The sequence below is a fragment of the Homo sapiens genome, chromosome 5 (assembly GCF_000001405.40).
Source record: "Homo sapiens chromosome 5, GRCh38.p14 Primary Assembly".
NCBI lineage: Eukaryota > Metazoa > Chordata > Mammalia > Primates > Hominidae > Homo > Homo sapiens.
The window spans coordinates 58,957,191-58,968,739 of NC_000005.10; the positions used below are offsets into that span (position 1 = coordinate 58,957,191).

Genomic DNA, 11,549 nt, shown 5'->3' on the forward strand with positions numbered 1-11,549 from the left:
CAATTTGGTATGTTTTTGCAGTGGCTGGTACTGGTTTTTCCTTTCCATGTTTAGTGCTTCCTTTAGGAGCTCTTGTAAGGCAAGCCTGGTGGTGACAAAATCTCTCAGCATTTGCTTGTCTGTAAAGGATTTTATTTCTTCTTCACTTTTGAAGCTTAGTTTGGCTGGATATGAAATTCTGGGTTGAAAATTCTTTTCTTTAAGAAAGTTGAATATTGGCCCCCACTCTCTTCTGTCTTGTAGGGTTTCTGCAGAGAGATCCACTGTTAGTCTGATGGGCTTTCCTTTGTGGGTAACCTAACCTTTCTCTCTGGTTGCCCTTAACATTTTTTTCTTCATTTCAACATTGGTGAATGTGACGATTATGTGTCTTAGGGTTGCTCTTCTCAAGGAGTATCTTTGTGGTGTTCTCTGAATTTCCTGAATTTGAATGTTGGCCTGACTTGCTAGGTTGTGGAAGTTCTCTTGGATAATATCCTGAAGAGTGTTTTCCAACTTTTGGTTCCATTCTCCCCATCACTTTTAGGTACACCAGTCAAATGTAGGTTTGTTCTTTTCGCATAGTCTCATATTTCTTGGAGGCTTTGTTTCCTTTCCTTCTTTTTTCTCTAATCTTGTCTTCATGCTTTATTTCAGTAAGTTGATCTTCAATCTCTGATATCCTTTCTTTGGTTTGATCTATTTGGCTATTGATACTTGCATATGCTTCACAAAGTTCCCATGCTGTGTTTTTCAGCTCCATCAGGTCATTTATGTTCTTCTTTAAACTGGTTATTCCAGTTAGCAATTCATCTAACCTTTTTTCAACGTTCTTGGCTTCCTTGCATTGGGTTAGAACATGCTCCTTTAGCTCAGAGGAGTTTGTTATTACCCACCTTCTAAAGCCTACTTCTATCAATTCGTCAAACTCATTCTCCATCCAGTTTTGTTCCCTTGCTGTTGAGGAGTTCTGTTCCTTTGGAGGAGAAGAGGCATTCTGGTTTTTGGAATTTTCAGCCTTTGTGCATTGATTTTTTTCTCATCTTCATGGATTTATCTACCTTGGGTCTTTGATGTTGGTAAGCTTCGAATGGAGTTTTTGTGTGGACATCCTTTTGGTTGATGTCATTGCTGTTCCTTTCTGTTTGTTAGTTTTGCTTCTAACAGTCAGGCCCCTCTTCTGCAGGTCTGCTGGAGTTTGCTGGAGGCCCACTCCAGACCCTGTTTACCTATATCACCAGCGGAGGCTGCAGAACAGCAAAAATTGCTGCCTGCTCCTTCCTCTGGAAGCTTTGTCCCTGAGGGTCACCCGCCAGATGCCAGCGAGAGGTCTCCTCTATGAGGTGTCTGTCAACCCTTGCTGGGTGGTGTCTCCCAGTCAGGCTACAATGGGGGTTAGGGACCCACTTGAGGAGGCAGTCTGACCCTTAACAGAGCTTGAACGCTGTCCTGGGAGATCTGCTGCTCTCTTCAGACCCAGCAGGCAGGGATGTTTAAGTCTGCTGAAGCTGTGCCCACCGCTGCTTCCCCTGGGTGCTCTGTCCCAGGGAGATGGGGGTTTTTATCTATAAGTCCCTGACTGGGGCTGCTGCCTTTTTTTTCAGAGATGTCCTGCTCAGAGAGGAGCAATCTAGAGAGGCAGTCTGGCTTCAATGGCTTTGCTGAGCTGCGGAGGGATCCACCAAGTTGGAACTTCCCCTTGGCTTTGTTTACACTGTGAGGGGAAAACAGTCTACTCAAGCTTCAGTAATGGCAGACACCCCTCCCCCCACCAAGCCCGAGTGCCCCAGGTTGACTTCAGACTGCTGTGGTGGCAGTGAGAATTTCAAGCCAGTGAATCTTAGCTTGCTGGGCTCTGTGGGGTTGGGGTCCGCTGAGCTAGACCACTTGGATCCCTGGCTTCAGCCCCCTTTCCAGGGGAATGAACTGTTCTGTCTCGCTGGCATTCCAGGTGCCACTGGGGTATGAAAAATACTCTTGCAGCTAGCTTGGTGTCTGCCCAAACAGCTGCCCAGTTTTGTGCTTGATACCCAGGGCCCTGGTGGCATAGTCACCCAAGGGAACTTCCTGGTCTGTGGGTTGCGAAGACTGTGGGAAAAGTGTAGTCTGGGCCGAAGTGCACTGTTCTTCAAGGCACAGTCCCACATGGCTTCCCTTGGCTAGGGGAGGGAATTCCTTGACCCCTTGCACTTCCTGGGTGAGGCAATGGCCCACCCTCCTTCGGCTCGCCCTCCATGCGCTGCACCCACTGTCTAACCAGTCCCAATGAGATAAGCTGGGTACCTCAGTTGGAAATGCAAAAATCACCCACCTTTTGCATTGATCTTGCTGGGAGCTGCAGACTGGAGCTGTTCCTTTTGGCCATCTGGTCAGCCACCTTTTTTTTTTTTTTTTTTTTTTTGAGATAGAGTCTTGCTCTGTCACCCAGGCTGGAGTGCAGTGGCACAATCTCGGATCACTGCAGCCTCCACCTCCTGGGTTCAAGTGATTCTCCTGCCTCAGCCTCCTGAGTAGCTGGGATTACAGGCATGTGCCACCACACCTGGGTAATTTTTGTATTTTTATTAGAGACAGGGTTTCTCCATGTTAGCCAGGCTGGTCTTGAACTCCTGACCTCAGGTGATCCACCTGCCTCAGTCTCCCAAAGTGCTGGGATTACAGGCATGAGCCACCACGCCCAGCTGAGCTGTTTGTATTTAATATTGGCATACGTCTTCGATATGAACAAGTTCATTGTATATTATTTAGGGAAATAAAGCTGTTCCAGTGAGGGGACTACAGTCAGTGCAAAAATTTTGAAAAAAAAATATGGAAAGTATTTTGTCCTACATGTTAGGCACTGAAATTACAGTTACTAAATGAGAGGGAAATTTGAGATTTAAAAAAAAAGAAAGTAAAGGAAATCCCCTAAATAATGCCTTGCAAACTGATAGCTGACATAGAATAAAAAACTGAAGCAACAATCAAGTTAAATATTCTCTTCCCCAAGGGACACAGGGCACTTTAGAGACAAACTGGCTATGTTCCCATATCAGCCTTGACATTTTTACTGGACAACCTTATCCTTCCAGCCTCTTTTGACCTCTCTGTTAAATGAAGGGAATATTGGGTTGATGTAGAGTTGAAATGAGATAGCAAAAGGTGTGATGCAGTCTTAGTGATCATTCTTCCCCTGGATTCCTTCCTCTTCCATTCCCCATTTCTTTTTTTTTTTTCCTTTTTTATTTTTTTATTATCTGAGGCAGAGTCTTGCTCTGTAGTCCAGACTGGAGCACAGAAGCATGTTCACAGCTCACTGTAGCCTCAACCTCCTGGGCTCAAGTGATTCTCCCACCTCATCCTCCCGAGTAGCTGGGACTACAGGTGCACACCATCATGCTTAGCTAATTTTTGTATTTTTTGTAGATGTGGGGTCTTGCCATGTTGCCCAGGCTGGTTTCAAATGCCTGGGCTCAAGCAATTCACCCACCTCGGCCTCCCAAAGTGCTGCTATTACAGGTGTGAGCCACTGTACTTGGCCCCTCCCCCATTCCTTTCCAACCAAACTGAAACCTCCTCAAAAGGAAGAATCAAGTCCTACTCTTTTGAGGTACCTGGCACAGTGGTCAGTAGGATAGGCAGTTATGGCTTAGTTGATTTTGAATTTGCCATTCTCTCTGCATGCCTCAAGTTCCTACCCTACTCCCAGGTGAATTATCTGAATAATTTTTTTCTAACCTTCTCACCTTGCTTATTAAAAGAACAAAAACAATCAATAGCAGAACTGCCAGGAAAGAAATCCATGATATTATTTTCTTTGAACAAGAGGGCAGTTGTGATTGGTGTAGCAATTTGGGTAGTTTGATACAGAGGGGTGGAATTATGCGGTGGAAACTGTGAAGGTGAGTGCCTCCTGGTAATGGCTCTTTTCTTGCCTTTTATACACACATGGGCCCCAGGATGATTAAGGGTGATGGTAAACTCCGCCTCTACTCATGTGTCTCTGTCTGTTTCTAGCCAGTGAGTAGAATTGCAAAATTTATTCTCTTTTTCTTTTACCCACATCTTTTTAGGATGTTTGCTGGGAATAAGGGAGTAGAAAAATAAGGCAAAACCCTGTGCCCACAAAATAGAGCAAAGCAAACTGTCCCCCAAAGCAAGCGAGTTTCCCATGGAGTGGCCAGTAGAAGAGCCTCCCATATCCTAAGGTTCTGGGGTACATCTGATTATTTTCCTGCTTTTCCAGTGAGACACTGTACATCACTGCTGTTCACCTGAGAACTATTCTCATGATTCAGCAGAGGATCAAAACAAGGAAAAGGAAATATATTAGTCTGAAAATTCTACAATAGGTAATTGCACAAGAATGAGTGGCTTACATATCTATGCAGCACTAGGCTAGGCACAATTCAAGACACAAGGAAGTCTTAAGATACGTATCTAACCCCCAAGAAGTTTATAGTCCAGTTTTTAGTTTCCAGCCAAGCCTTCCATGAAGTATTCCCAAGTGTAGATATTGCCTTTGTCTATTAATATATATAAGATGACACATAATATTGTCAATCTACTTTGAGAAAAAAAAAGTTGTCAAAAGCCCAGAAATCACTTTGTGTCTGTTTTCTCCTCTCTTGGCAGTCTGAAATACCAGTGTTGAGTGATCTACTTACCCACTGCTCCGTCATACCACTCTAAAACAATCAATGGCTCCCTATTATGTTACTCATTAGGTCTCCCTTTTGAATCAATTTTTATTTCCCTTTAGAAACCATTTTTGAATCATGGATGACAGGTAAATTGGCAGGGGTGGGGGTTGGTGAGAGACTTAGGTTCCTCTAGTTGTCTCTGGTGTTGACTTTGTTCTAAATCCATGCTTCGTATGCTTTTAAAAATAGTTTACTTGGCAACATTTGCATGTGTGTGCAAGCACACAAGTGCACCCATGCATGCATGTAAATGAAGCAATTTCAGAAAATGAAACTTATGTGCAGCACACAGTGATATTCTCTATTCTATTTTAATTCACGGTTAGTGCTCATGGCAACCATCTTTTGACTTTATTATCTACTCTGGGTCACAAGCTTAGTGTTTGAAAAATTTTATCTAAAGTTTACACTGAGTTTACATTTATAAATTCATTTGCTCTAATACTGTGAAGAATGTAGAGAAGATTCCAATATTATAATTCCCCTATTTAAAATGAAAGAAAGTAGAGATGAATTAACATGCCTAAGGTCACCCAGCTAATTTGGGGTCAAATTTCCAACATTTCCACTGTGCCAGGTACCTTTCTCCCCCACTCCCAGCCCAGACTCACCAGCACATTGTTGGAACAAAGAGTGGGTGTATGATATAGTTTGGATATTTGTATTCTCCAAGTCTCATGTTGAAATTGATCCCCCAATATTCAAGGTGGGGCCTATTGGGAAGTGTTTGGGTCACGATCCTTCATGATCCACTTGGTGCTGTCCTTGCAGTAATGTATAAGTTTTCACTCTATTCATGAAGGAGCTGGTTGTTTAACAGCATGGCACCTCCTCCCTGCCTACTTGCCACCTCCTCCCACTATGTGATACGCCAGCTCCCCTTGTTTCTGCCATGAGTTAAAGCTTCCTGAGGCCTCACCAGAAGCCAGGCAGCTGTAGAGCCGTGCATGCTTCCTGTACAGCCTGAAGAACTCTGAGCCAAATAAACCTCCTTTCTTTATAAATTACCCAGCATCAGGTATTCCTTTATAACGATACAAATGGACTAACAGTATATTAGTTAGGATTGTTTCAGGGGCAAATAATAGCAGGTTCAACTAAAATGGCTTAAATAATAACTAGTTATTATCTTAATAAGTTTCAAAGTAGGGCTGATTAGTTCAGCAGCTCAAACACATCTTCAAAGACTCATGTGCTATCTAACTTCTGCTTTGCCATTTTCAGTATGTTGTCTGTGTATTCAGATAGTTCCTTTCGTGGCCTCAAGATAATAGCCTAACCATGACATCTTTGAAAATAATTTCCAAAGCCCCGAAGAAAAAATGTTCTGTTCTCTCTTTTCTTTGTAAGAGTTGGGGATATTTTCCCAGAAGTCAACCTGTGTCTCACTGTCTACTATTGCAGCACGGCAAGCCTGTCCTAACCTAATCACTGGCAAGGGTAGAGGAATTACCATAAAAGGCTCAGAATTAGCCTACAGAACTGAGGAGAGGCTGGATCTCCCTGGAAGACTTGACTTCACACGACCTGAACAAAATCCCACTTATGTATGCCAGGAATAAAGTGGGGGTGGAGGGTTGGTAATAATTAAGTAGGCAACCAAGTGTGTCTTTAATAACGAGTATGGATGAAAATTCCCAGACAGTGAAGTGTCTGTCTCTTACCCTTCCCGTACCCTTTGTTTCTAGGGAGAATGCCTGATTCCTTCAACTTGTATTCCTGTTCCATATTCTTTTCAGCTGCCTTTGGCCCCTTAACTGTCTCGACTCCTGCTTACTTAATGTCTAATCTATTCTAGGCCAATTCATGCCCTTCCCACCCATTCTTCACCATCAACCTCATTCATTCAGGCAATTACTTACCCACTTGTCTTTCTCTTTTCCTGTTAAATGAATACTTGCTATATGGCAGACACTGAACTAAGCCCTGGAAAAACAATGATGCATAAGGCACAGTCCCTACCTCTAATAGCCAAAGGTTGATTTTAAATACTTAGTGCACTCCAATATATATACAGAAATTTGACATCTGCTTTTCTGAATGTACAGGGTGCTCAGCATCCCTGGAAACAGTCTGAGGGAGGGATCAGAGTGACAGACTTTATTTGGGAAGTACATGCCTTTGGGTAGTAGGGGTGAGGAAAAAAAGGTCAAGGCAAAATGAAGCAAGTAAGAACAAAGAAATAAAGGAAAGTAGGGAAAACATTTCTCTGCTGGCTACTGACTCACAAGGAGCAGCCAAGAGACACTGCAGGTCACTTGGTAGGGCGCTCTTGCTGACATGGAACTGCAGGATCATCCTGATGGGCTTCAAGGGGGAGGCTATGCCTCAGAATAGTCTTGGGAGAGAAGAAATTAATTTACTGGCTCCTTCCCATTTCTAGTTTCCCAGTAATCAAAGTTAACCCCATGGAGAGTTACCACCACTGAATTTCGGGGTTGTGTTATTTGGCCCTTTGGTGGCCCCTTGTGATGGTAGATCCCAAGCCATCTTGGGGTGGGATGTGTGGTTTCACCCAGTTATGAAAGCAGAGGGCCACTCAGCTGTGTGATTAGCAGAGTGAACCTGAATGCGGCACTTGAAGACTGAAAAGGTGTTTGATTTCTGTTCATTACATTAATGGTCTTGCAGGGATAATGTGGACGTAATTTCCTTCTGGTTCTTCTCTCTTTTTGCAACATTTAAATCTTTAACCCATGCCTGCTTGTGATGCCATGATGCCTGATGGCGACTCCTAATCCCAGGTTTCCTCTGCTGAAGGGAGCTAATAGCTGGCTTCACTATTCCTTTCTTGCTTGATAGACATTGGCCAAACATGGGATCCTACTGTTCCTCAGACTGCCTGTGGCCCTCACTAGGTCATCTGTTGTAACTCCTGTAGCAACAAGTATCCCTTTGATTAAATGAAATACATTAGAAAGGTGGTTGAGATTATTAACTTGCTTCTTAAAAAAAACAGAAATAGAAAAACACCTCCATGATGTCTTGAACAGTGTTTCTCAAACTTTATGGAGCATACTTATCACCTGGAGTCCTTGTTAAAACACAGGTTCTAGGGTCCACCCCTAGAGAGTCTTTTCCTGGAGCCTTGGTCTGGGGCTAGATTATAATCTAACAAGATCCTAGTTGACGTTAATGTCAGCTCAAGGACCACATTTTGAGAAGAGTTGGTGTTAGAGGGGAAAGAATAGTCAAATGTTAATATCCGGACTTAATTCCTTACTAGCAGGCAAAAAGGAATACATTGATGTTTAAAAATTGCACTATCTAGGCCAGGCGTGGTGGCTCACGCCTGTAATCCTAGCACTTTGGTAGGCCAAGGTGGGCGGATCACCTGAGGTCAGGATTCGAGACCAGCCTGGCCAACATAGCGAAACCCCATCTCTACTAAAAAATTACAAAAATTAGCTGGACGTGGTGATGCATGCCTGTAATCCCAGCTACTCAGGAGGCTGAGGCAGGAGAATCACTTGAACTCAGGAGGCAGAGATTGCAGTGAGCCAACATTGCGCCACTGTATTTCAGCCTAGGTGACAGAGTGAGACTGTCTAAAAAAATAAAAATTAAAAATCTCACAATCTAGTGAGAGAAAGAATTTTTTTAAAAAATACAACATATTAGGGGAAATATTTATTATAGGGTTGTGTATAAAATACTAATGGGAAAGGCTTTCCAGACAAAGGTGTATTTAAACTGGATCAAGAGGGATGAGCTGTTTTCCAGGCAGAGAGATGTAAAGGCAAGGTGTAAAGGCAGCATTTAGCTGAGGCACAGGGATATCTATGTGGGGTTGATGGGAGGAGTTGGGGATGATTTAGTTTGATTAGATCCTTAAGGGCCTTATGTGTTACGTTAAGCACCAGGAACCTGGTCCTGTGGGGAACAGAAGATATCATCACTGTCCTTGGATGCTGTAGTACAAAGGGTCCAACTTCCTTCACTTTCTCCCAGTTTTCCTCAATTGTTTTCTCTCACCTTTGCTTGTTTTCAACTTTTCCAGTCCATTTATTAGATATTTTAATCGCTGATCTCAGCAATTATTTTTAGAATATAAGTTTTCAAAGATATTCTATGACTACTGCATAATTCCATGTGATACCAGACACGGCTTCAAAAAGCACAGGGGGTTGGGGTCAGGGGCTGCTTCCCAAGAGTCTTCTATGGTGGACAGTTCCCTGGACTGCAGCAGCTGTCCTGAGCTTTGTTCTCCACCCATGAACCACTGACTTCTGCTGGGTAGAGACGGGTGTCACCACCCAGCCTCCGCTTGACCCACTGTGGCAGGGTGCAGTTGCCTGGCGTTCTCTGCCACTCTCTTCCCAGATGCTGTAACTGAATAGCAGGAAACAGAAACCATCAGTGTTAGAGAGAAAATGAGCAAAGTGTGAAGAAGCTGCAAGGTGAGAGACGGCTTGGTTCTCTAACTGATGCAGCCTGGTGGTAAAACAGTGCCTTGCATGGATGGGTGCTGAGCAAGTGTTTGCCACTATACATTTGGTCGGCTTTTTGGTTCAAAAACAAGGAGCGAAGGAAAAGCAATTCTCAGGTGATAGAACCTTTCAGAAAATATGTTTGCATGATTCAGGTCCTGAAACCATGTCTGTTGGCTTGGGATTTGTAAGCAGCTGGCAAACACCCTGCTAAAACAGCCATGATGGTTGAAGGGGCTCCAGCCTAAGCCGGATGCTGCCCGTGCTCCATTCCTTTCATTGAGGCATACATCCTGCAAGAAGTTCAGCTAAGATCTGTCTTGCCTCATGTTGTGAGTCTCTGCCGGGCAGAGGCACGCTCCCATCTCTGCTCTTATCTCTGCTCCTTACTTTCTTGACAGCTTCTTTCATTTTCTATAATTTTTTAGGGGGTCAGGGGCTCTTTAACTCCAAGTTCCCCAGTCAATCTGGAGAATTCTGACCATATAGCAAGGCTATGCAGACATAGGGTGAGTTAACAAATGCATATGATGTAATATCTGTCACCTAGCTTTGGACCATAAAAATTACTGAAATCTGTAATGAAGGATGGTCAAAGGAAATCAAAGGCAATGCAACAGTCAATTTTGGTCCTCAACAGAAATAGGATGTAGAGATAGCATTAGGACTTCTGTCAAATCTGTAGTTTGCAAATCATTAATCTCAGTATTTAGCCTGTGAATAATCTTAGCCAAGTCAATTAACCTTCTTGGGCCTCACTTTTCATAGCTGCAAAATAGAGGGAATCATAATGCCAATTGTGGACCATAGCAGGGTCCTGGAATGGCAGGGTGGGGGCTTGCAGCAGGGAGCAAATATGACTCTCACTTTATAAAATTTTCAAGTGCTATATCTTGTCATTGAAACAGCTAAGCGAGAGCTGGGAATAGACATTCAGGGATAGCACTGGAACACAGAGACTTCAGGAAAAAATGCCTCTTTCCCTGTGTTCCCACATAGGAAGTATGGGAGTTCCTGATGACTTCCTCTTGGAGACAACTTCCTCAACTTCCCACATCTCAAAATGTTCAGTGAACATTGTTGGATCTAGATGTTGCCAACCATGTGTGGAAGGTTAATGGACTATTATTTAATGTATGCTCTTCCAATATCTTTTTTCGTCTCCATATTTCAAATAATAGCCAGGGTTTTTGCAGAGTGGAGAGCAGAAGCAAATGGAAGTCAGAACTACCTCTAGTCTGTTTCGTTTTTGTTTTTAAGCCTGATCTCATTGGAGAGCAAAAGAAGGAAGGAGAGAGAAGAAGGAGAATATGTTGAGAATTAGGAAAAGAAGAGAACTGCTTTTTTTTGTAGTAATTTCAGTAGGTATGTCTTAGTCTCCTTAGACTTCTATAAGAAAATACCATAAAGTGGGTGGCTTATAAACAACACACTTACTTCTCACAGTCTAGAGGCTGGGAAGTCCAACATCAAGGTTCTGGCAGATTTGGTGCCTGGTGAGGACCTGCTTTCATTTTCACAGATGGCACCTTCTAGCTGAGTCCTCACATGGTGGCCAGGTTGAACAAGGTCCCTTGGGCCTCTTTTATAAGGGCGCTGATCCCATTCATGAGGACTCTGCCTTCATAACCTAATTATCTCCCAAAGGGCCCCCATCTCCTAATAGCATCACCTAGGGGTTAGCATTTCAACACAGACATTCAGACCACAGCAAGGTGTAATAAAACACCAGAAGGATAGGCTCTTTTGATGCACACACTGTGTGGAAGCAGGGCCCCAAACCAGCATATATTCCTGGTACACCACATGTGACCAGGAAGCTAATAGCTGAGGGACTGTAAGGAACCTCTGCTGGAACAACACAGAGGCCTGATACTCAGATTATATTGGAGATAAGATAAATTTTATGTTGGGAGAGAGAGGAGCTGTGGCAGTAATGAGAGATGGGAATTTCCAATAGTGTGATTGGCTGGAGCCCCGAGTCCAGATTAATTGATTTAAAGGAAATAAAGTAGTATTTCCTATGTGTACAAATTCAAGATTTATACCCATAGCACTGAGTTTGACCTAGAGTATTTGGAGCTCTCGGAGTAGCTGGGTGGGATGCAGGACCCAAATCAGAAGGATGGGAAAGCCCTGGTATGATTCCCCTGACACAAGGTTGTTTTCCCCTTGGTAGACAGGTGGTACTCTCTAGCAACAGGGAATGTTTTTGGTTTTGGTTTGTTTTTTGGTGGAATGTTGCTGTTGTGGGTCCAAAGCCGTGTGCCTGAGGAAAGGTTTCCAGGTCAGAGATTTTAATGTGAGTTCAGGCCCACCACCACCCAAATTAGCCTAAATCAGCAAGCGTGGCAAGTCAGGAAAAGAAGGGAGTTGCTTCCTTAGTTCCATAGTGTCACTTTGGGGTCATGGCTTTGGGGAAGGGAGCTTGAGTTTAAAACAGTTATTCCCAGGAAGG

At 43.6% G+C, this 11,549-nt stretch overlaps 1 annotated feature.

Annotated features, from left to right (window-relative positions):
- Positions 8,792–9,086: a silencer, noted in NCBI's record as "tiled region #1719; K562 Repressive non-DNase unmatched - State 24:Quies". NCBI's record gives its function as "represses a minimal TATA promoter and a strong SV40 promoter by Sharpr-MPRA in K562 cells {active_cell/tissue: K562}" and the evidence as "EXISTENCE:reporter gene assay evidence [ECO:0000049][PMID:27701403]".